Source organism: Homo sapiens, chromosome 16, assembly GCF_000001405.40.
Source record: "Homo sapiens chromosome 16, GRCh38.p14 Primary Assembly".
NCBI classification, from domain to species: domain Eukaryota; kingdom Metazoa; phylum Chordata; class Mammalia; order Primates; family Hominidae; genus Homo; species Homo sapiens.
The window spans coordinates 22,050,849-22,075,927 of record NC_000016.10 but is presented as its reverse complement, the minus strand read 5'-3'; the positions used below and the strand labels follow the sequence as shown (position 1 = coordinate 22,075,927).

At 39.4% G+C, this 25,079-nt stretch overlaps 1 protein-coding gene and 1 long non-coding RNA gene across 5 annotated transcripts in view, besides 2 other annotated features; one reads left to right on the top strand and one right to left on the bottom strand.

Moving 5' to 3' along the window:
- MOSMO (modulator of smoothened) overlaps nucleotides 1-25,079 on the bottom strand; it is an 84,542-nt gene that overhangs the window by 16,725 nt on the left and 42,738 nt on the right. For all 4 annotated transcript variants that reach the window (XR_007064906.1, XR_007064907.1, XM_047434583.1 and 1 more), the window contains exon 2: nucleotides 229-441. Coding sequence is in view for 2 of the 4 variants with exons in the window: in XM_047434583.1 (XP_047290539.1) it covers nucleotides 229-441 (213 nt within the window). In the remaining 2 variants the exon portion in view is untranslated. The remainder of the gene's footprint in view (nucleotides 1-228; nucleotides 442-25,079) is intronic.
- On the top strand, nucleotides 4,374-11,504 carry LOC124903665 (uncharacterized). The gene is made up of 3 exons (XR_007065027.1): nucleotides 4,374-4,446; nucleotides 4,963-5,062; nucleotides 11,442-11,504. It is a non-coding gene; the product is annotated as an uncharacterized LOC124903665 (long non-coding RNA).
- Nucleotides 4,826-5,120: a silencer, noted in NCBI's record as "tiled region #14412; K562 Repressive non-DNase unmatched - State 23:Low". NCBI's record gives its function as "represses a minimal TATA promoter and a strong SV40 promoter by Sharpr-MPRA in K562 cells {active_cell/tissue: K562}" and the evidence as "EXISTENCE:reporter gene assay evidence [ECO:0000049][PMID:27701403]".
- Nucleotides 21,771-21,960: an enhancer, noted in NCBI's record as "active region_10566". NCBI's record gives its function as "activates an Ori minimal core promoter by ATAC-STARR-seq in GM12878 lymphoblastoid cells {active_cell/tissue: GM12878}" and the evidence as "EXISTENCE:reporter gene assay evidence [ECO:0000049][PMID:35858748]".

Genomic DNA, 25,079 nt, shown 5'->3' with positions numbered 1-25,079 from the left:
CATTAAAATAGCATTTCATACAAAGTGATTAAAGTTGTGGATGTCCTGGTCTTGCAGAAAGAGTTTTGAAGAAATGATGGGACTGTGTAGAGTCTATCTCACGGCCATACACAAGTGGTGCTCTTTGATGATTATGAAGTCCTTATTACTGATTCTTGATTATCTTCATAAAAATACCAGTGTGGGTGGGTGCCTTCTAGACAAATTTAGTAAGCACAGGTTACTTACTTCCAGTGAATGCTATCCATCGAGCATATTTTGTAGCTTCTCTTCGCCAGTGGGAAGCCACCAGCAAACCACATGTGACAGTCAATGAAATGATTCCCATGATGATAAAAAACAGTGTGGTGACCCACTCCGGGGGAAGCCGGGGAGGGATGCACGTCCGGTCTCGTCCATGGATTGTTTGACACTGTCGCACGAGGCCCACAGTGAGTGCTCCTGGGGAGATGCAAATGGTGGGAATACTTTAGTGGGTTTGGCCTGTCCAGGGAATATTCCTCACCACCACCCCTTTAGTTCTTAAATCTCATTTATCTCTTCGTGGGTCATTCAAGCACATCCTAAGTCCTACTCTTCAGCATCTGCTGTAGTTCATAACGTAGTAATACTTAGTTTAACATACAAAGTGAACCTAAAAAAATAACAAATGACCTCAGAAAAGTCATAACAGGCAGTTCACTCAGGCATTCATTAAATAAATACTTTTCTGAGTAATTGTGTCAGGTATTTTTCTAGGCTCCAGGGAAATAACAGCAGACAGGATGAGGTTCCTGCCCTCACTGAGCCTGCATGCTGGCAGAAAGAACTGGTATTTTTTGATTCCTAGATCCAAGACTCATTGTATATGACTTCATTTTGGCTGAAAAGAAAATCACTTTTCAGGAAATTGAAGACAAACCTGAAATATGCCTAATTGTAATATAGAAATAAAATTAAATAATAGATTAAATGCCAGAAGCAATATGTTTATGAAAGGTATAAGGTCTAAGAATATTACAGTATAAGTAGTTTTCCATTAAACTCAAGAAAATGTTGGAAAAACTAGGAGGGCCCTCTGTCCCAAACTTGGTATATTCACCAATTTTTGTAGAGTTTACAAGTGTTCACACTGCCAAACCATGGCTGGCATGCTTCACAGAAAATCACAAAGGCAAATTATGAAGGTAATTCTTAAAGTGTCTCTCCCCATTCAAATAAAAGTGATTTTGGTAAAACATCAAGCATTATTTTTCCATAAGGATGTTCTCATGTCAAACCCAAGGGCCCTCCCTCAATCAAATTTGGGGTAATTTATAAAAACTTAGATTAGAAAGGTGACAGAGCAATTATTTGATCTTCTTCCCCAATAAGAAGAATGTTTTCAATGGTACTTCTCAATAAAAACTACTTGTTTCCCCTTCCAAGAGCAATGGCAAATGGGAAAAGTTACCAAAAATATAGGAATGGAAATTTCTGGAGCTATTAGAAACATAACAGATTTTTGCATTTTGGGGGGATTTTTTTGGTCTACATTCTTTTATTTATAGAGATGGGGTCTATGTTTCCCAGGCTGGTCTAGAACTCCTGGTCTCAAGCGATCCTCCCGCCTTGGCCTTCCAGTGTGCTGAGATTACAGGTGTGAGCCACTGTGCCTGGCCAGCATTATTTTCTCAATATGAACACAAAAATAAAAAAGACATTGACCTCGAAATCATAGCACTTGCCACGAACAAATGTCTTCTGTGAAGGGAACTGGTGAAATTCCTAGTGGCATTTTGGGAAGCTGCCCTGGTGGGAAGACAGAGCAGGGCTGGACTTGTGTGTGCACGTGCACGTGTGGCTAGGTGGGGCTGCTGGAAGGAGGGTGCTTTTCTGCAACTTGAGTTTGGCCATTGATGTATTTTTAGAAATAAAGCAACTTGTTGAAATAAAATGAAACAAGAAATCAGTTCTCTCAAAGTTGAGTTTGAGTCCTCCCCCAAATGCTAACTGTTAAGCAGAGAAGAAAATAAACAAGCTGTACTTTTTCTCCCAAGTCATCTAATAACTATACCCATCTGGTGATCCCTGCCCAGGTGCAAGCAACATTATACTTATGGGGTTATCACAGGCAGGAGGAAGGCAGACCGGACAGAAAGTACACAAATCTTCACAAAAATGCCACACACTATGCCACACACCACCTTCTACTTGGAGCTGATTGACTTCATAGGCCAAAGAGAAGTAAATCAGTAAAAAAAAAAAATTGTCACACTATTTATTGCTAACCTTTTAAGTTTCACGGTAATTGCTTGAAACCAGAAGAGAGGATTTGGTAGAGGTGAGTAGGCACCAGGGAATTGCATGACTGTTCTTAAACAAAAACACTAAAAAGTCTCCTTGAAAACAAAAAAAAAAAAACTTGAGGGAGTGTCTTATGATAAGGCATTTTCTTGTAATTTTGGAAATAAAGAAGGCATTCACAGCAGTGCTCGAGAACTCTTAACAGGAAACTCCTCCTGATCATTCAGCAAAAGACCGTTAACAAATTATCCTTTTCTAGTCACTGTTCCATTTATAAAAGATGTAACTGCTGGCAATGAAAGACCCTCTGACAAAATGCAATATTATGAATTATTATATTAGCAACTTTCTTCTCAATTTAACATACAAAGTCTGTACAGTTACAAAGGTAACTACATACCTAGTGAACTTAGATTTACATTTGATTTTTTTTGCTGGTAAACATTAAAAATTGTAGGTTCAGTACATCATAACTGAACTTTCCTTCTAAATATTTGAGTATCCTTATGTTGACTTTCTTACTCTCTCAGCGTTAGAAATGAAATTTAACTTAACCTCCTGTGCCTGTAGATTCTGAGTGGAATTGCTTTCCTCCTCCTCTGTCTAGCACACCACACCAAGTGACTACAAACAGAACAAGCACGAAAATTTCAACACCTTCTATAAAACTGCAAATAATCTGACCACGGTTTAGCTTTAAAAGAATAGCTATAGTCCTGTATTTATCAAATTCCTTATCACAATAAATCAAAACCAAATAGCAGCTCTATTCTAGAAGAAAAAAAGCTAATGCTAATCGACAAACAGAAGGCATACTGTATATAAGAAAATCAATACACTTTTTTTTTTTTTTTTTGAGATGGAGTCTCGCTCTGTCACCCAGGCTGGAGTGCAGTGGCGCGATATCACGGCAAGCTCCGCCTCCCGGGTTCACGCCATTCTCCTGCCTCAGCCTCCCGAGCTGCTGGGACGACAGGCGCCCACGACTACGCCCGGCTAATTTTTTTGTATTTTTAGTAGAGACGGGGTTTCACCGTGTTAGCCAAGATCGTCTCGATCTCCTGACCTCGTGATCCGCCCGTCTCGGCCTCCCAAACTGCTGGGATTACAGGCGTGAGCCACCGCACCCAGCCAATACACAAATATTTTGCTGAGTCTCTCTCGTGCTCAGCATAGTAGCAGTCAGAGATTCAACAACTAATATGCTCACACATTCAGTAAAAATAGACTTTCCTTAAATATGCAAGGGCTAATGCAAACAGTGGTCAGTCAACATTGTTAAAGTTCATTTTCTTGAGTGAGACTCTAAGTTGACAACATTTATAACACAGTCATATATTTTCTGTAAGCTGACTGGGGGAATTTGCAAGGCTAACTGTGCTGTTACTATTAAATCTTATAAATTCAGGTCTGTTAGTACCCGAACTTTCACCAGGCCTTCAAATTTAATATTTTACCTCAAGGAATTACCTCCTTGAGCTTCAGACTCATCACCCACATTAATAGTCAAGATCTTTTACTTCTTCTAAATTCCCTTAACACATTTAGTCTGTATCATACAACCATGCACTTACTTTAAGGTAGCTTCTTTTTATCCCCAAACAGGACATGAGCTTTTCAGAGGAGGGAACTGCACCTTCCACTCCACTGGAAACCCCAAAATGGCCTGCAGTAGTGGAATTCATAAGCATTAAGTGAGTTTAAATGTATTAAAAACAAGCTAAATTTAAAATCGCACTGCATTAAATAAGTTCTCTACTGTAGAGCTATCTTAATGTGGTTTCTGCACACTTATTAAATACAAGCTCAGCCATTCACGAATTTTTGTTTTATCCAACAGGTCTTTTTGCCTCTTGAAGGGGCCTGTAATTCCATTCCCCAAACAGCCAATCCATCTGTACCCTGCAGCTGTTTCCTAGGTAACTAACCCAGCCAAATAAAAGACTTGTACACAATAGGAAAAAGGAAATGGAACTAGAAACTACAGCATCCCACATGCCTCTCAGCATCTCACCTGTGCAGCATAACACACAAAAGGAAAGTCATCCTGAGTCTTACTCCATTAAGTGGGGGCATCTTAAGAAGCTTCGACGCTCATCATCTGTAAATCCAGACACTGTTAAAACGATTTAATACAGCCAGTCTGAGCATGTCTGTTGCCACAGTGAGGATGATTATAAGGTATGTCATCACTACATGTAAAAGCAGTGTCACAGAAAATCTGTAACACAGGGGCTGTAAGGCAGAAAGGCGCACGGCCACCAGTCTGTCAGAGCAAATCATGTGGAGTGCTTGCCAACCTGGCCAGAGAGAGCGTTTTCCCATACAGGGTTGGATTTGAGCAAAAATAGCGAAGTTAACATTAGCTATTATCTTCTTCCATCTCCCTGTTACGTTTTCCTCCTCCGGACAATGCTCTCCTCCTCTCACGGGGCTCTCCCTGTCAGCTCTAGGTACTATGATTTGGAGTGCCCAATCCCTACCACAGATGTGGATCTCTTGCTCTACTTCCTCCTTGGGGAAATAAAATCTGTTCTTGGCAAGCTGTTTCACTGGTTACACAGGCCAAAAAATACTCTACCACAAATGTCTTAATGATTGATAAAAGCTTAACATACTGCCTTTCCCAAGAGCATTTGTATTTGAGCGAGGGGTAGTATCCCAATTGAACTGAAATTACGGAGTTTCATGTTTTAGCAATGGGCTGGCTGAAGAAATTTAGAATTGGATTGCACGTGAAGATGGGGAGCAGGAAGGGGAAAGACCCCAGTGTACACAGCCCTGTGCACCTCCCTGGGTAAGTCAGACGCTGGCAGCTCGCCCTCTGAATGAGTAGAAGCACAAAAACAAAACAACAGCCTACGGGTAACTTAAAAACGTCACACACCTAATTTTTTCCTCTAGAAACATAGCTAGTGGTGATGATTTTTATCTGCTATGATTTCTAAATTGTATTTTAGGATATAGGTGCTTATAAATAGCAAACTGGCCAAAAAAAAAGAGTGAACAGGTAAATCAAAGAAACTTAATGAGCCACACATGGACAGTGTCTGAAAACCTGAGTAACATAATAGGCTGGGGCTGAGCCCTACTCTCCACTGTAGTATGCCTTCCTGTGACTTTCACCTGTTCTTACCCTCCCGGGAGTTTACAGTCACCCATCCTTACAGTTTCTCCCAGTCTCTCACTTTCCTCTTGCCTTCATGTCTTTCCCTACCCAGCCTAGAGTCCTTGATCCATTATGTTACCACCTTTTATCTTTTCATGCACCCACCTGGCAAAAATGATAGCCCTGACTCAATAGAAATTTCTTCCTTCTTGTACTAACCTTCAGGCTGTGGAATGCTGATGGAGAAAATCACATCAGAGCAGACGGGTGCTGCTGTAAATTTCTAAATTTTAATCTCAGGGCCGTCATCTCTGTCTAGAAACTAATTAGGTCTCACTAATTCCGTGCTTCACTGTTCTTTGCTGAGGCTGTTCCAAGACTCCTGCACTCTCCTTTAAAAAATCTACCACTTCCTTCATATTCAGTAGGTATCAGTCTCTATTATTTCTCAGAAAAAAGTAGAGGCCATCAGACAGCAAATCCTCAACTGTCTACCATCAAACTTACAAATGTATCTGAACACATTCATTCTTTCATTCTCACAATCCTTTCTCCTTGTGTTTTGGATCCCATCCTCCCCTTCTTTGGGATCTTGCCCAATACATTATTTTCTCTTTTCATATCTATCCTCTTCTGGATCTCAAAAATGTTTGAATGTGTTTAAGTCTCCCCTACCATAAAACAAAACTATCCCATATGCCAACACGTCCTCCAGGGGCATCATGCTTTCTGTTTCTGTCTTGCTTTGTCTAACCTCCCGTGCCCCCAGCCATGGCCAGATTTCCTCCTCCTCTGCTGCCTTCACTTCCCAGAGTCTCATTCACTCTTCAACCTACTGAAGGTTGGCTTTTGCCCCAACTACCATTTTGATAGAGCTCTTGTGAAGCTCACTCACTCCATAACACCAACTCTAATGGATGCTTAACATTTAAAGTCCTGGACTAAAAACATTTTAGCAGCATTTGATATAGCTTCTTCAAACACATTTCCTTTGGTTTTGGTAACTCCCTCCATATCTACTGGGTTTCCTCCTGCCTCTTTAGTTTCTCCTCCTTTCATACACACTTTTTTCTTTCCCATTTGTTAAAATTTTGTGTTCTTTAGGGATCTTTCTTGGATCTGGCTCTTCTATAGTGACTCTCTGTCCTAAATCCAAACTCTTTAAAATGGGCTGTAAAGGTCTGGATTATACTGCTTCTAGTCTTTCATTTCTTTTCATACTTGATGCTCTAATTCTTAGATTAATTCCTAATTCATATATCTCCTTATATTATACACACCCCAGGCCCTCATATATGCTGTTCCCTCTGCCTACAATACTCTATCAAACCTCTTTTCCTGGCTAGTACCTATGACTAGAAATTCCAGTTGCAGCTTAGAAGTTGCTCCTGGGCTATCTTCCTTGACAAGCTCTTACACTCCCATCCTGAGTTGAGTGCTTGTCCTCTGGGCTCCTATCAAAGCACTGTATCTCCTTACTGAACCTGAAGAGATCATGGGAACCCCTAAAGTTGTAGCCAGTGAGAAGCAGAGGTAGCCTGGGGACCCCCTGACCTTGTGGATAGCATCTGCATTGGGGGCAGCATCTGAATTTGTGGAGAACTGAGTCCTTAATTTGTGAGGTCTGCACTAACTCCAGGTGATTAGTGTCAGAATTGAATTGTCCTGCAGTGCACCAACTTGGGGTTGGAAGAGACTACATATCTTTACACAAAAACTTATATATGAATGTTCATAGCAGTATTATTCATAATAGCCAAAAAGTAGAAGCAATACAAATGTCCATCAACTGATGAATAAAAAACAAAATAGCCATACAATGAATTTTTCAGCAATTAAAAAAAAGAACTACTAATACATGTTACAACATGGATAAACCTTGAAAACACAATGCTTTGTGAAAGCAGCCAGACACAAAAGACCACATATTGTATGATTCCGTTTATGTGAAATGTCCAGAATAGGCAAATCCAAAGAGGCAGAAAATAGACTAGTGGTTGCCAGAGGATGGGGGAAAAAGAAATTGGGAAGTACAGGGTTTCTTTTTCTTGGAATGTTACAAATATTCTGGAATTAGACATTGGTGATAGTTGCACAATACTATAAGAAAATCCATATATGTGAATGTATGAAAAACCACTATGTTGTACATTTTATTTTTTAGGCCATTTTAAGGACTTCATAAGTTGTACACTTTAAAATGGTGAATATTACCTCAAAAGAAATCCAACAATCATTTAAATACCAACTTAAATTCAGTAGCATACGGAAACTTTACTCCAATATAGCTCCATTCTCTCCCTTGTCTTTGAACTATTATTATGCAAATTATATGTATACACTATAAGCCTAACACACTTTTATAATTATTGATTTAAAATAAAAAAGTTATAAGCAAAAATATATTTGTACTGACTTTTACATTTACCTACATAGTTACCTTTACCAGTGCTCTTTATTTCTTTATGTGGATCCAAAATATTGACTAGTATCCTTTTATTTCAGCCTGTGGACACACTTTAGTATTTCCTATAGAACATGTCTACTTGTGATGAATTGTCTCCATTTCTGTTTATCTTGAAATGTCTACATTTCTCCTTCAGTTTTGATGGATAGCTTTGCTGGATATAGAATTACTGATTGACAGTGATTTTTTTTTTTTTTCTTTCTTTTTAGAGACAGAGTCTCATTCTGTTGTCCAGGCAGAAGGCAGTGGCACGATCTTGGCTCACTGCAACCTCTGCCTACCAGGTTTCAAGCGATCCTCCTACCTCAGCCTCCTGAGTAGCTGGGATTACAGGCATGTGCCACCACGTCCAGCTAATTTTTTTGTATTTTTAGTAGAGATGTTTCTCTACTAAACAACATGCTTCACCATGTTGACCAGGCTGGTCTCAAACTCCTGACCTCAAGTGATCTGCCTGCCTTGGCCTCCCAAAGTGCTGGGATTACAGGCGTGAGCCACCATAACACATCCAGCCGAGAGTGATACAGCACTTTGAACATGTCCCGCTGTTCCCTGGCCTAATAGTTTTTGATGAGAAGTCAGCTGTTAATAGTATTGAAGATCCCTTGCATATGAGGATTCACTGTTTTCCTGCTCCCTTCAAGATTCTCTTATGTCTTTGTCTTTCAACTATGATGTTTCTGAATGTATATTACTTTGAGTCTATCCTACTTAGAATCTCTTAGATTTTTCAATGTATAGTTTTTCATCAAATTTGGGGAGTTTTTAGCCATTGTTTTTCTAGACATTCTTTCCGCTCCTTTTTCTCTCTTCTTCAGGAATTCCCGTTATGTGTATGTTGATATACCTGATAATGTCCCACATTTCTTATGTTCTCTTCACTTTTCATTATTTCTTCTTTCTGTTCCTCATATGCAATAATCTCAATTGATGTGTCTTTAAGTTTGATGATTCTTTCTACTTCTGATTTGTTTTAGCTATTTAACTTTTCAACTCCTGAATTTCTATTTTATTTCTGAAAATAATTTCTATCTCTTTATTAGATATTCTCTATGTGGTAAGCCACTGTTTTCAAACTTTCCTTTAATTCTTTGTTATTTTGGGGAACATATTTATAATTACAACAGCTGATTTAAACTCTGTCTAGTAAGTCCAATGTCTGGGCTTCATCAGGAGCAGTTTCTATTGAACGCTTTTATTTTTCCTGTGTATAGGCCACACTTTCCTGTTTCTGTGTGTGTCTTGTAATTTTTAGTTGAAAACTGGACATTTGAATAATATAATGTGACAACTATGGAAATCAAATTCCTTCCTTCCCCAGGATTTGTTGTTGTTACTGTTTACTAACCTTCCTGGAATCATTCTGTAAAGTCTGTATCCTTTGTTGCGTGTGGCCTCATCTATTAGATTAGTTTAGTAGTCAGCTAATGGTTAGAATAAGGTTTCTTTACATTCTTTGAACCAATAAGACTCTCAGCCTTTGCTGAGGGGGTCTCTCTCTGTGCTGTGGCACATCATCAATGCTGCAGCAGACAATTTACAACTCTGCCTTGGCCCTCACTTCCTGCTTGCATTGAGTCCTAAATCAGGTAGAGGTGAGAGAGTAGGGCCTTCCCAGTTGTTGCCTGGGTATGTGGACAGTCCCAAACATGTGTGTGGCCCTTCAGGTTCCCAGAAATAAGTTGGAGCTTTTCAAAGACTCCTATGGACATTCTATTCCTCAAATTTTCCTTTATGTTTGCCTGTCAGTCTTTTGTTACCCCAATACCTCAGGAACCTGTGATGCTGAACAACTGCTGACTGTTTTTAACAAATGCCTAGGAATAGAACAGAGCAAACTCTGAATCTGATCAAACAAAGATAAGCCCTAAAAATTGAAATTTTCAGTGAGCTGCCAGACCGATCAAATAGTGACAATTCTCTGGGGATGGGGCTTTAAAAAGTACCAAACCCCCTGCCCTCTCAATTGGTTGCTAAGCTGCTAGTTTTCACAGCTACTATAGCTGTGAGGCTACTGGTTTTCAAGGGTACTGGGGACAGGTAGATGGAATTAGCACAATTGAAACTGCCACAAAGTTTGCTTTTCTTACCCAAATACAGGCAATTTTCTCGAATGCTCCTTCAATTGTTGCAAGCTTTAATTTCCAGAGTTCTGAAAAGGTTGACCTAATAATTTTGCCAGTGTACTTGTTGCTTTTATAGAGGAGCAGATTTTTGGAGGTCCTTACTTTGCCATTCCAGAAATTAAACTCAACAACAGGTCACAATTTGAATTTCAGTTTTGTCACTAATTTGGGCAAGTCAGTTAATCTTTCCAAGCCTGCTTCAGCAAAAAAATAGTACAACCACCATTTAGGTCTGTGTGAGAATTAAACAAGATAATGAGATAACACCTGGAAGGCAATCAGAACTGTAAGCACTGAATAATAGTTTTCAGGAAAAGAAATTAGATATATTTTTTTTTTGTTAAAACATACACAGGACAGTACAAGACACACCAATTTAACACAGTAGTGTACTCATGAAACTTGCATTCCAACATAAAAAGGGTGCTAAGGCTATTGGTCATAAAAAGTAGTCAGGACATTACTTCCCTGTTCAACTTTTTAGTATATTATTCAGATTGATGACCACACACAAGGCAAGTTCAGGCTTGCTGAAATAGAAGCTCTGGGGATGGATTTTATTGTAATACCAATGCCGGAAGCCTGGAGATTGAGAAAGCTTTGCTATTATAATGAAATAACAAAATGTTTGTTATATAACAAGTAAAAAATGATCATTAGCCTTTAAGTTTGATTTTCTTTTTCCTTGCATCCTGTTGGCTGTTCCCTCTATCCCGATTTAAAAGACAACTATTACCACCTGTTTGTAAGCATGACTGTAGTTTGGAGGCCTTATTTTACAGTTGACTAAATCATACCCAACACTGCCCTCACATTACAGCTTATTAGCTCTTGCTCCCTAAAGTGACCTTAGGTTTAATCCCATAAAGACATTAAATACTAACTAGCAGCAAATCTCTAGTTTAAAATCTGCTTTATTGACAAGTACAACATGCTACCAGAATCTGTCCTCACTATGGCACTATGACTCTGCCAATTATTGAAGCTCTTAACATATAGTGCATGAAGAATTCATTAAAGAAAAGCTTACCACAATGTTTAAACTATCCATATAATGTATAGAAAATATGTGGAAGGATATTTGTCATACTGCCAAGAGTAGCCTACTCTGGTTGAAGAGAACTGGAGGTGACGTGGGGAGAGGGGGTGAGAACCTTTGTATTTTTACTCTGTCTTATCTAAGTGTAGATAAATCCATACAATTCTGTCTTTGGAAAAAAAAAGAATGTTTGCTTTAAATTTTAAAATTCTAAAATGTTTATACGATATTACACATTAAATTTAAGTGTGCTAATTGCATTTACATTACACACTATGAAATCTTTCAATCATGTATGAATTTAAGCACATGCTCTGGATCTAAAAGAAATTAAGAGTATGCCAAAGAAATTAGCATAAACCAAAGTGAGTCAGGTAGAAGGTTAAAATGGAATTTAAATTACAATGTCTGCATTTTCTATTCCATTTCAATTAGGGTATCAAGAGAAACTCCCATGGAAGAATTCCATTCAAGGATACTTACTGTTTCTTCCCAGATTAATCTGGCAGAAGTAACCCATTTATTTCACCTGAATGAATAACCTCCATGGTTTGTACACAGAACTGAGCTGGATTAAGGTGAGACTGGTAAAGAGAATGAAAGTTAAATTTGGTAGGTTAATTCTTGTGGCCAGAAAAGTACTGTGGAATTATCTGTAAAAGTATTTTAACAAAAAGACTAAACATTAATGACCCCATAGCCTCACAGAAAAGGACTGCCTGTGGACAATGATCAAGAAACAAGCAAGCAATGAGCAGACAATAGCAGCTCTCAAGTAAAGCTCCTGGCCAAAAGCAGTCATAAAATTAGAGAATTTAGAGCTGGCAGGGATCTCAGAGATCATCTGTTCTAATCTCCCCAAATTAGGGTTTAGAAAATACTGAAGCCCAGAGAGATTAGATGATTAATCCAAGGATACAAAGTTAATTAGCAGCGCTGAGACTAAAACCCAGGTTTTGAATTACCCACTTCAAAACTTCCTAGCACATGATGCTAACTTCCCTGAACACCATTCATTGAGTAAAGAAAATGAACAGTATTCCTAAAAATACCTCCAGGAACATTCAGACTTCTATCAGAACAGACTTAATCACAATTTTGTAAGCACAGTGATAGTGCATCTAAGGACTTTCATGGGAGGTAAAAAAACATATATATAGAGGGAGATGTCATCTTTGGGTTCCTCTTGTCAGTTCACAGGAGAGGCTCCCCTGGGTTTTGTTCCTTATAAAATGTAACCTCTTCCTACACTAGCCACTATTTCTCATAAACGTTCAAGGAACACCCTGCTCTCGGTTTATTCTCCTTAAAGAAACATCCCAATATCTTTGTCTGAAGAACAAAAGGATTCCCTACATCAACTTTAGGCTCTTATCCTATCTCCAAGGAAACTTGGCTATTTATAGTCTACTCTCAGACATCAAAATGAACACTCACATTTGTCTTACCTATTTGCATCGACCAGAAAATGTGCACTACTACCTTCTCAGGAATTTATAAAGTCACAAGAGCAAAGGATCCATTTATGATCTCCAGGTCTGTTAAAGTAACTGCTCTTTTTCAACTAGTTGATATTCCGGTATTAAACAACTTTAAATCATTTCTCTACTAAATTGTACTTCCTTAACAATTTACATGAGTACAGTAATTCTCTGACATTAAATCAAATTCTAAACCATTTAGTCATGTATGTGTTGTCTTCACAGGTAGATAGCATATCAGCAGTTCGAGTTCAGGTTCTGGATTAAGACTCAAATCTGGCCTCTCAAAAAAGGCGCGGTGGCTCACGCCTGTAATCCCAGCACTTTGGGAGGCTGAGGCGGGTGGATCACCTGAGGTCAGGAGTTCGAGACCAGCCTGGCCAACATGGTGAAACCCCACCTCTACTATAAATAAAAAAAATTAGCTGGGAATGGTGGCATGTGCCTGTAATCCCAGCTACTCAGAAGGCTGAGGCAGAAGAATCGCTTGAACCTGGGAGGCAGAGGTTGCAGTGAGCCGAGATCGCGTCATGGCACCCCAGCCTGGGCGACAGAGAAAGACTTCATCTCAAAAGAAAAAAGACCGAAATCCAGGTCTACCACTTACTGGCTGTGAGATTTTGGGCAAGTTAATTAACCTCTGTGTACCTCAGCTTCCTCAGTAAATGCAGAATGACCTCCCAGTATTGTGTGTATTAAGAGAGAGAATGTATACAGAGCACTCAGAACAAATGCCTGGCACAGAGTAAGAACTTGATAGATGTTAAATATTATCAATAATGTGTTGCTATGTCGATATACTTTTAAAAAAGGAAATAGGCCAGGTGCTATGGCTCAGCTCACATCTGTAATCCCAGCCCTTTGGGAGACAGAGGCAGGAGGATCACTTAAGGCCAAGAGTTTGAGCCTGGGCAACACACTGGGACTTTATCTCTACAAAAACTAAAAAAATCAGCCGGGCATCGTGATGTGCACCTGTGGTTCAAGCTACTCAAGAGGCTGAGGTGGGAGGATTGCTTGAGCTCAGAAGTTTGAGGCTGCAGTGAGCTATGAACATGTTACTGTACTCCATCCTGGGTGACAGAGACCCTCTCTCTAAAATAAATAAATTAAATATAAGAAAAGAAAAAAAAGAAATAAGAGAAACATAGTTTGGGATTCTATCTTTCTCTTTTTTATATATTTTTTATTTTAGTATTCTCTTAAATTTATTGTTGTCTCATAGTACCTCTGAGTCTCTTGCTTTTTTAGACTTAGAAGAAAAATCATGAATTCATGTCCAATTTATGTAGATCCACTTGTTTTTAAATGAGTCAGAACTGTAAAAGTTTAGAGCCTCACAAATATGAGGAAAGCAAGTTTAACACTGAGACAAGTGTTTCTCTGTGCCATCAGTGTGATGCCTCAATTATAAAGTGGATAGATTTAAGAGTGGAGAGCTTTGGAGAATGACAAAAGTTCTAGTTCTGACATCTCTTCTTCCATTTAATCTTTAAGAGGAGCTTGTTTTCTCATTGTAGTTAAATTCAGCATAAGATTAAAAATGTAAGGTGATATCTCCCCAATTTTCAACTTCTGAAAACACTACCTAAGCTTTTGCAGAAATATATAAAATCAATCCCTCATTAATTAGCTTACATTTGTGGTAGCCATGATCTCCTAAGCAAAGAGATGGTGGTCTAGAAAAACCATACTTTAGAGAAGGTTTCTCATGATCTTGAGAAGCCTAGCACCACACCATGAGCTATGCCTGACTTTTCTGTCCAAGTCTAGTGGGCACAAGCGTGCTATACCAAGCTTTCATTCATTCCGCAAATACTGAGCACAAGATCTGTGCAATACACTGTAGGATGTATGAAGGACACATGAAGACATGACCCCTGTGTTTCCAGAACTTCCATACACACAGCCAGACACACATCCACAGAAAGTTAAAAAGCACAATACATAGGAGGGTGTGAGTTAATGCCAAGGGAATTGTGCAGTCGTGTGGGATTAAGAATCTGAACATAAGCATTCTATCCACAGGCACCACTACTCATGGAATTTTGAGCAAAAAGCTTCATTGTCTTTTGGTCTACTGTCCCATTTTACAAGTGATATCCTAAAAGGCTTCTGATAACCCTTCACAAATGCTGACATTAGGTTTACTGAGGTCGAGTTTAGATACAATAAAATTCACATTTTAAAATGTACAATTCAATGAGTTCTGACAAATATATGTAGCCATTTCAACCATGATATAGAATGTGTGCATCACCATAAAAAGTTCCCAGACTCCTTTGCAGTTAGCCTCCTCCCCCAAGCTCCCAAGGTAGATCTACATTCTAACAGTGTAGTTTTGCCTCTTGTAGAATTTTATATAAATGAAATCATATGCAATCATGAATAAGGCTACTATAAACATTTGCATACAGGTCTTTGTAAAGACCCGTTTTCATTTTTCCTGTGTTAATACCTAGGAGTGAAAAGCTTAGTCATATGGTAAGTGTATGTTTAAATTTATAAGAAACTACCCAACTGTTTGCTAAAGTAGCTGTACTTTTCTTTTTTTTTTTTCTTTTTTTGAGACAGAGTTTTGCTCCTGTTGCCCAGGCTAGAGTGCAATGATGCGATCTCGGCTCACTGCAACCTCCGCCTGCTGGTTTCAAGTGATTTTCCTGCCTCAGCCTCTGGAGTTGCTGGGATTACAGGCATGCGCCATAAAGCCCAGCTAACTTTTGTATTTTTAGTAGAGATGGAGTATCACCATGTTGGCCAGACTAGTCTTGAACTCCTGAGTTCAACTGACTGGACTGCTTCGGCCTCCCAAAGTGCTGGGATTACAGGTGTGAGCCACCGTGCCCGGCCAGCTGTACTATTTTACATTCCCAGCAGCAATATCTAAAAATCTAGTTGTTCACCATACTCATCAACACTTTGTATTTTCAATCTTTCTAGTTTTAGCCATTCTAAAAATGTAGAGGTAGGCATGTAGAGGTCTCTTACTGTGGTTTTATTTCCCTAATGTTTAATGATATAGAACATATGTTCATGTATTTACTTGCCATCTCTGGCCTGTTAAAATCTTTATCAATTAAAAAAGTCAAGTTGTCCAATGATTAAAGAGTTCTTTATATATTCCAAATATTCTGAATACAAGTCCATCTTCTGACATGTGTTTTACCAATATTTCCCCCATAGCCTTGCTTTTAAATTTTCTTAGCAATGGCTCTTGAAGGACAAATGTTTTATATTTTGAGTCCAATTTTTCAATTTTTTTTTGAGACAGAGTCTCACTCTGTCACCCAGGCTGGAGTGCAGTGGCGCAATCTCGGCTCACTGCAACCCCAGCCTCCTGGGATCAAGCGATCCTACTGTCTCAGCCTCCTGAGTAGCTGGGACCACAGACATGTGCCACCACGCGTTGCTGATTTTTGTATTTTTGGTAGAGACACATTTTCACCATATTGCCCAGCCTGGTCTCGAACTCCTGAGCTCAAGTGATCCACCTGCCTCAGCCTCCCAAAGTGTTGGGGTTACAGGCATGAGCCACCATACCTGGCCAATTTGTCAATTTCTTATCCTGCCTTCTGTGGCTACTTAGTGGCAAAGGGGGAAAACCCCATTGATATGGTTTGGCTGTGTCCCCTCCCAAAATCTCATCTTGAATTATAATCCCCATAATCCCCACATGTTGAAAGAGAGACCAGGTAGAGGAAACTGAATCATGGGGGTGATTTCCCCCATGCTGTTCTCGTGATAGTGAGTTCTCACAAGATCTGATGGTTTTATAAGTGTTTGGTAGTTCCTCCTGCGTTCATTCTCCTTCCTGCCACCTTGTGAAGAAGGTGCCTTGCTTCCCCTTCACCTTCTGCCATGATTATAAGTTTCCTGAGACCTTCCCAGCCATGCTGAACTGTGAATCATTAAACCTCTTTTCTTTATAAATTACCCAGTCTCAGGTATTTCTTTATAGCAGTGTGAGAATGGACTAATACACCCACCATCTTAATCCCAGACTGAGGCTTAGGCAATAAGAGATGACATCAGTCAGGACACCAGAATAATAAACGTTTATTATCTCTAGAGCTGTCTCTGAGAGATGCCCAACAACTCATGAAAAAAGGCTGCCAAGGAGAATTCAACCTTCCTTATTACATCTGAACAGACAGCTAAACATTCTGTCACCTCAACCATTTATAGGACAAGAATATAGTAAGAATGGTTCTTACTACTGTATCTAGACAAAACTGTTTAACCCAGATGCTTAGAAAACATCACTTATATTACCTCTGGATGATCAATGAATGGCCAAGTCTATTCACTGTTTGAATAAATAATAGATTATATACAAAAAATAAAAAGATGACAATATATCTGGCGAGAGAGAGAGGGTTACTACATCACAACAGAAAGTCTCAGTTAAAACAACCAAGGTTATTTCAAAGTACAATTCTTATAAAACCAAAGTCTGTTCAGAATAAAAATTATACAGAACGTCACCAAAGAGTTGTCAAGTTTGTTCCCAAGCTGCCCTTTTCTTCTCACTCCATATTCTTCCTAGGCAATCTCAGCTGGGTTCACTGATTCAATTATCACCTAAAAGACAATGACTCACAAATTGATCTCTAGCTAAGACATCTCTCTTAAGCTCCAGATTCCTGCTTATTGCTTACTTAATATTTCCACTTGGATGCCTCATAGGCATCTCAAGCTCAACAAATACGAAAACGAACTTATCCTCCATTTAAACCTCCCAGTGTCCTTCTCAATGGCACCACTATTCATCCAGTTGCACAGGTCAGTTATTCTTAACTCCTTCCCCTTCTTTCCCCCATAGGTTCCCACTCTGAAATCACTAAGTCAAGTGGAATTTACCTCCTAAACAAAAGTCTATCCTGTCCTCTCTGTCTACATGTCCAACATCCCAACCCAAGTCAAAGTAAATTCTCAGCACTCATTTCTTATCCCTTCCAATCCTTTCTTCTTCATACTGCAAAGCAATTGTTTCTTTCTTTTTTTTTTTTTTTTTTGAGACGGAGTCTCGCTCTGTCACCCAGGCTAGAGAGCAGTGGCGCGATCTCGGCTCACTGCAACCTCCGCCTCCTGGATTCAAGTGATTCTCCTGCCTCAGCCCCCCAAGTAGCTGGGATTACAGGAGCACGCCATCACGCCCGGCTAATTTTTGTATTTTTAGTAGAGATGGGGTTTCACCATGTTGGCTAGGCTGGTCCTAAACGCCTGACCTTGTGATCTACCCGCCTTGGCCTCCCAAAGTGCTGGGATTATGGGTGTGAGCCACCACACCCGGCCTAGAACAACTGTTTCTAACATGCAATCTGATTTTTGTCACATTACCTTAAACATTTTAATGGCTTCCATCACTGTTAGGATAAAGAACAAAATCTCTACAATGGCCTACCAGGTCCTGTATTACCTGAACTATGCCTTTTTTTTCAGACAGATCTAATCTCACTCCCCCCACTTGGCTCTACACAAGTTAGCCTCATTGGTTTTCTTCAGCTCCTAAAAGCACCAAACTCTTTTCCACTTCAGGGCCTTTTGCACATTATTCTTTTTGCTGGCAGAACTATTCCCTGCTCATGTTCTTGCTAACTCCTGCACTTCCTTTCATTTCCAGTTTACATGTCATTTTCCTAGGGAGGACTTCCCTCGTAAATTCTTCCTGTTAATAGGTTCCTGTTAAAACTACATTTCTCCCTTTATAGCACTATGACAATTATATTTATTTTTATTTTTTTGTTGTCTGTTAACTGCTAGATAAGTTCTCTATATGGCCAGTATCTATCTTATTTTCCAATATATATCTAATGCCTAGCAGAGTTCCTGACATATAATGTCTGCAATAAATATTAAGTGAATGAACTATCAATCTCTTCTATGTAACTTTTGTGTCTGTTATTTGAGAACTCACATGCTGTGATTCAATGTGCAACCCAAAATTCATGTGTTGGAAACAATCGGCAATGCAACTGTGTTGGGAGGTGGAGCCTAATGGAAGGTGTTCAGGTCATGAGGACTCCACTCTTATAAGCAGATTCATGCTGCCATAAAAAGAGCTTGTGAGAATGAATTCACTCTCTTCCGCCATGTTAGAACAGTGTTCCTCCCTCAGGAGGATGCAGCATCAAGGACCCATCTTGAAAGCAGAGATTGGTCCTTCACCAGACACCTAAGCTGCTGGCACTTTGATCTTGGACTTCCCAGCCTCCAGAACTGTGAGAAATAATTTCTGCTCTTTATAAAGTACCCAGTCTTAGGTATTGTTATAGCAACAAAAAATGAATAAAGACACCACATTTTTTCACATTATACTCTCTCTCTCTCTCTAAAATACTAAGTTAGAGAATAGTCGATAATTCTTCATTTTAAGGAAGGAATTGTTTGAACAGTGACTTTCCTAGGTCACTGATACTATTTAATTAACTATTTGAGAGGAAGGGAAATAGAAAAAACTAGAAACAAATATGTATTTCAGTAAGTCAGCAAAACATGCTATATTTTAGGGACATATCCAGATAATAATTATGAATCCTGATAATGTTCTCATTTATTTCATGGACTAAAGGTATCCCTAAATAGAATCAGAAATGCATTTTTAACATGGCCAGCAAACTGTCATTTGAGATGTGTCTTGGGGAGTATGTTGGTTCCTAACGGACTAGGCTGGTTCCTGGGACAGTGAAATGTAAACATAGAGAAATCAGAGAGACACTAAAATATTTTTGTTTGTCTAATTTGAAAGGAGGGAGAAGGCCGGGCACAGTGGCTCATGCCTGTAATCCCAGCACTTTGGGAGGCCGAGGCAGGCGGATCACCTAAGGTCGGGAGCTTGAGACCAGCCTGACCAACATGGAGAAACCCCGTCTCTACCAAAAAAAAATATATATATATATAAAATTAACCGGGTGTGGTAGTGCATGCCTGTAATCCCAGCTACTCAGGAGCCTGAGGCAGGAGAATTGCTTGACCTGGGAGGCGGAGGTTGCGTTGAGCTGAGATCGCGCCATTGCACTCCAGCCTGGGCGACAAGAGCGAAACTGTCTCAAAAAAAAAAAAAAAAAAAAAAAAAGAAAGAAAGAAAGGAGGGAGAAAAGGAAGCGACAAGAGAAACTTGAAGGAAAAAAAGACTACAGAATTGACAATTAATGTCTGAACTCAGGCGTCAGTGGCAGATGTCCTAGAATATAAGTTATATTTGTCAAAACGTTTTAGAAAGAGAACTAAATAAGCCTAGTCCCCAAATAGAGAGGGCTTCCGGGCAAAGCTACAAAGTCTAGCACAGGGTATCCAGGCTTACTTTTGCCACCTCTCTGAAAGCAGGAATATACCCCAAGGTTCTACCCTGCCTCGCCCCCTGCCGGCCCATATTAGTCCCTTTAGGTTTACTGGTCTTTTGGGACCACAGTGTGGAGGACATATCACCAAACAGCTTCACAGTTTTGGCATGCTTTGTACTATTCAAGTCAGTAAGGCTGCCTAACTACTCTTCCTCTAAAGTTAGTGAAAAACACAGGCATATAAGAGAGGCATAATGAAAAGTCATTTCTTTTCCACCCTAAAGTGATGGCTAAAGGTTGATATGACTACAAGTATCAGCTTGCTATGTGAGCAACACCTACTGATCCACTTTCCATTACAAAACCTGATATGGGATAGAATTTTTGGGACTTGAGCTGCAAGGATAAATCTTTTTCAAGCAACTTATTTGCATTAAAGACTGATGATTGTTCTGGAAAGAATTTACTTTCATGAGAGAAAAAGTCTAGGAAGCAAAGTTAAGCTAGTAATGAAGTCTTTACCATCCATCATAAAGAAGGAGTGATTCTGAGTACTGCATGGTGTCACTTGTATTTGCCTCCGGTGGATTTGTATCTAAGCACAAGGAGGATGCAAGGGTAGTAGGAAAAATAGCTAGTTCCTTTAAAAGTTTGCAAGATACTGGAGGAAGTGGCAATCCTGTTGTGGTACTGTAAATGTCAGGGTGTAACATAAAATGAAACTATTTCAGTAGAGCATAATGTAGTTCATTTCAGCGTCCTGTCATTGGGAGATAACAGTATATCAACACTTAACCTAGAGGAAACAGTGGTGTGGATGTAGCAGTACCCAGAAGCAGTGTGTTGACTAAGGTGTGTGTTGACTAACACACACAGAAGGAGTGTGTTGACTCCTTCACACACACAGAAGCAGAAGGAGTGTGTTGACTAAGGTGACCAGGCGGATGCCATGCTACCCAGTGGAAACAGCATCAATCCTTGCAGTGGCCGTTGGTAATACACTGATGTATGATGTTGCACAGAAGCTGACCAGACTTGTTGACCCTCAAAAACAAATGGAGAGAAGGCAAGACTTTTCAGTGGGCTAGAGACTTACACTATTAAGAGAATTCCTGACTCAGCTAAATACAGGTTACGCTTACAAAGTTTTAATCATCTATACCAGACATAATAAATGTAAAGAAAAAAAAAAAACCCCTATCTTTACAAACTAGAATGGATTAAACACTTTATGGAGATAAATGCCTTTGACATGTTTAAATAATTTTAATTTAGTAATAAGACCCAAATTATTACTCTAAAATGAAAATGTGAAAAAAAAATCTGTGAACAGTCTTAAGGAAAAAGAAAGGTGTCCAATTAGTAGATTCTCTTTCTAAATAGTCAAGATAGTGGGTACAGACACTGACTTTTGTTTCCTATCACAGGTAGGGCCTGAATAAAGGTTTTGGTGAGATACTTGTGCATTTAAATTGTTCAGCATTGCTCTAATATAAGTACTGATTACTAAGAATTGAAGAGAACTTATGAAGAGAATTAAGAAAGTTATTTTTCCTCAAAAAGATGTTAAAAAACATGAACAAAATTCCAGAGACTCCTTAGTAAACAATATAAAGAGAGAGGTAAGGTTGGTAAGGCTTTGGATAAGGGCTAAGAGTAGAGTATCACTGATATTTGATAAATTATATTCCATGGAATCTAACTTTCAAGGAAAAATTGGCATGAGAGGTGAAATACCTTCTCAACAAAAATTTGTCTTCCTGGCTGGGTGTGGTGGCTCATGCCTGTATGTCCAGCACTTTGGGAGGCCAAGGAAGGAGGATCGCCTGAGCCCAGGTGTTCGAGACTAGCCTGGGCAACAGAGTGAGACCCTGTCTTTGCAGAAAATTTAAAAATCAGCCAAGTGTGGTGGCATGTGCCTGTAGTCCCAGTTACTAGGGAGGCTAAGGCACAAAGATGACCTAAGCCCTGGGGATCGAGACTGCAGTGAGCTAAGATCCCACCACTGCACTCTAGCCTGGGCAACAGAGGGACACTTTGGCTCAAAATGAAACAAAAAAAAAAAAGTGTCTTCTTTTTATTTCTTATATGGTTTGGCAAAACCTGCAAAGTCATCAAGGTTAGAAATGATACTGGAATTTCCCCAGCTGTCTCTCGCAAATGATAAATGACTCTCCTTTCTCTCTATACACACATTTTTAAAACTAAAATTTGAATATGTACTATATACATTTGCTACAAAAATTCAAAGACAAAAAGAGTATAGCATAAAGTGATAAGTACATTTCCTTTCAACAATGGGCCTCCAACTACTCCGTTTCTTTTCCTTGAAGCAATAACCACTTCTTTTTTTTTGAGACGGAGTCTCCCTCTGTTGCCCAGGCTGGAGTGCAGTGGCATGATATCAGATCACTGCAACCTCCACCTCCTGGGTTCAAGTGATTCTCCTGCCTCAGCCTCCTGAGTAGCTGGGATTACAGGTGCCCGCCACAATACCCAGCTAATGTTTGTATTTTTAGTAGAGAAAGGGTTTCACCATGTTGGCCAGGCTGGTCTCGAACTCCTGACCTCAAGTGATTTGCCCGCCTTGGCATCCCAAAGTGCTGGTATTACAGGCATGAGCCCCCGTGCCTGGCTGCAAGCACCACTTCTTGTGTATCTTTACAGGAGGGATAATGTACGCATATACAAGAGCATGAGTGTGTGTCTGTGTATTATTTTTTAAATGACCCATGCAGTCACAGTAACATATATAATGTTCAATACCTACTTTCCAAAACTTATTTTTAATAATTAGTAAATATAAAATATTTCTAAAATTGCATAAGGTTAAACAAAACTATCATATCATGAACCCCCATGCATCCACATGCCAGTTTAAGAAGGAAGAATAGGCTGGGTGTGCGGTGGCTCATGCCTGTAATCCCAGCACGTTGGGAGGTGGAGGTGGGTGGATCACTTGAGGCCAGGAGTTGGAGACATGCCAGACCAACATGACAAAACCCCATCGCTACTAAAAATACAAAAAAAAAAAAATTAGCTGGGCGTGGTGGCGGGTGCCTGTGGTACCAGCTACTTGGGAGTCTGAGGCAAGAGAATCGCTTGAACCTGGGAAGTGGAGGTTACAGTGAGCAGAGATCAAGCCACTGTACTCCAGCCTGGGCAACAGAGTGAGACTCCGTCTCAAAAAAAAAAAAAAAAAAAAAGAAGATGAGAGAATATTACTATTACTTTTTGAATCCCCCATGTGCCCTCTCTAATCTCGTTTTCTCTCCTGAGGTAACCACTCTCCTTGATTTTGTGCTTATTAATTCCTTGCTTGTAGTTTTACAATTTTTTTTCCCCCTAAACAACATGTTTAATGTTTCATACAGTTTAATGAATTATATTAAACTTCATATAAATGGAATCCAATCTTATTACATGTATGTTTCCACAGTTTGTTTCTCTTGCTCAACATGACTGTTTAAGATTCAGATTGTTATAATTTATTTATTTTTCATGGCTGTATAGTGTTCTCAACATTTATTTATTCTACTCTGGACACAGATTTCTAGAAGTTTGTTGCTGTTTTGTTTTCTTATAAATGGCACTATGAACATTTCTGTCACCTGGGGAAATGAGCAAGAATTCCTCTAGAATCTGTTAATAAGTAAAACTGGTAGGTTATAAGGTTCATACACATCTTTAAATTTTATTAGATAATACCAAATTGTTTTCCAAAGGGGTTATGTCCGAATTCACTTTTCTCCCAGCAGTGTATAAGGGTCCCACTTGCTCTACATATTCTTGCCAATACCTGATACTGTCTGTGCCTGGCAATTTTACTTAATAACATATAATAGAGAATCTTACATATTAGCATATACAGGGCTGCCTCATCCTGTCTAAAGGGCTTCATAGTATTCTAGCATATAGATATACTGTATTTGTACAGTTGTCTATTGAGGCAACTCTCCAATATTTCCCTTTAATGGATTATTTCCAGTCTTTTGTTATTTCAAACAATAACAATGGACAGCCTAATTTATCGTTACGAAATTCATTTCACACATGAAACTATATCCGTAGAATAAATTCCTAGAAATAAAATTTCTGGGTTAAAGAGTATATGCATTTAAAATGTTCACAGATATTGCCAAATTATTCCACATATATATAGGAAAAAAACTCTCAAACCATGTTTTTTTCTGTCACACCACAGCAACACAGAAGGCTTTTGTGACCAAATGCGTGGGGTTTCTCCCCCACACACCAAGCAGTGGACACCAGCCAGGTGTCCTCCAATTCAATTCTGACACTGTCTACCTGGAGATAGTATCAGATCCCATGGGTTGATGGCTCAGTCCCCAAGACTGCCACCCACCCCATCCCAGACACCAGTCAGTCACAAGCCGGGGCCTCCAAAACTTCTGACTGGCTTCAAGTTGGGGTTCCCACAATCCCCTTTTTGGGTTTAATTAACTTGCTGGAACAAGTCACACAACTCAGTGAATCACTTATGCTTATTGATTTATTATTAATATAAAGGATACTACAAAGGATATAGATGAAGAGATGTGTAGGGTGAGGTATGGGGGAAGGGGCATGGAGCTGTTGTTGGTACTTCCCTTAATGAAGTACAAGAACTCTTTAAATATTAAGGAAATTAGCCATTTGTCTGTGGTTTGACCTATTGATATTTTAGCCTAGTTTGTTATTTTTCTTTTGTTTATGGTAGATTTTTTTTGTATGTAGAAATTTTATTTTTCTGTAGAGTCCTTTTTTTTTTGGAGATGGAGTCTTGCTCTGTCGCCCAGGCTGGAGTGCAGGCACCATCTTGGCTCACTGCAACTTCTACCTCCCAGGTTCAAGTGATCCTCCTGCCTTGGCCTCCTGAATAGCTGGGATTACAAGTGTGCACCACCATGCTCGGCTAATTTTTGTATTTTTAATTAGAGATGGGGTTTCAACATGTTGCCAGGCTGGTCTTGAATTCCTGACCTCAAGTGACTCACCTGTCTTGGCCTCCCAAAGTGCCGGGATTGCAGGTATGAGCCATCGCGCCCAGCCATAGAGTCAAATTTAATAATCATGTCTTTTATAGCTTCTAGGTTTTGTACCATACTTTTGGAAAGGTCTTCTCTTACTTCAATAGTAAATTACTTGTGCATATATTAAACACAGCAGTTGTCAGACTGGACTGCACTAAAAAATGAACTCTCAGTTTGAGTTTTCTCTACAGTAGGTTTCTCAACCTCAGCAGCATTCACTTTTTTTTTTTTTTTTTTCTTAAGAGACAGAGTCTCACTTTGTCACCCAGGCTGGAT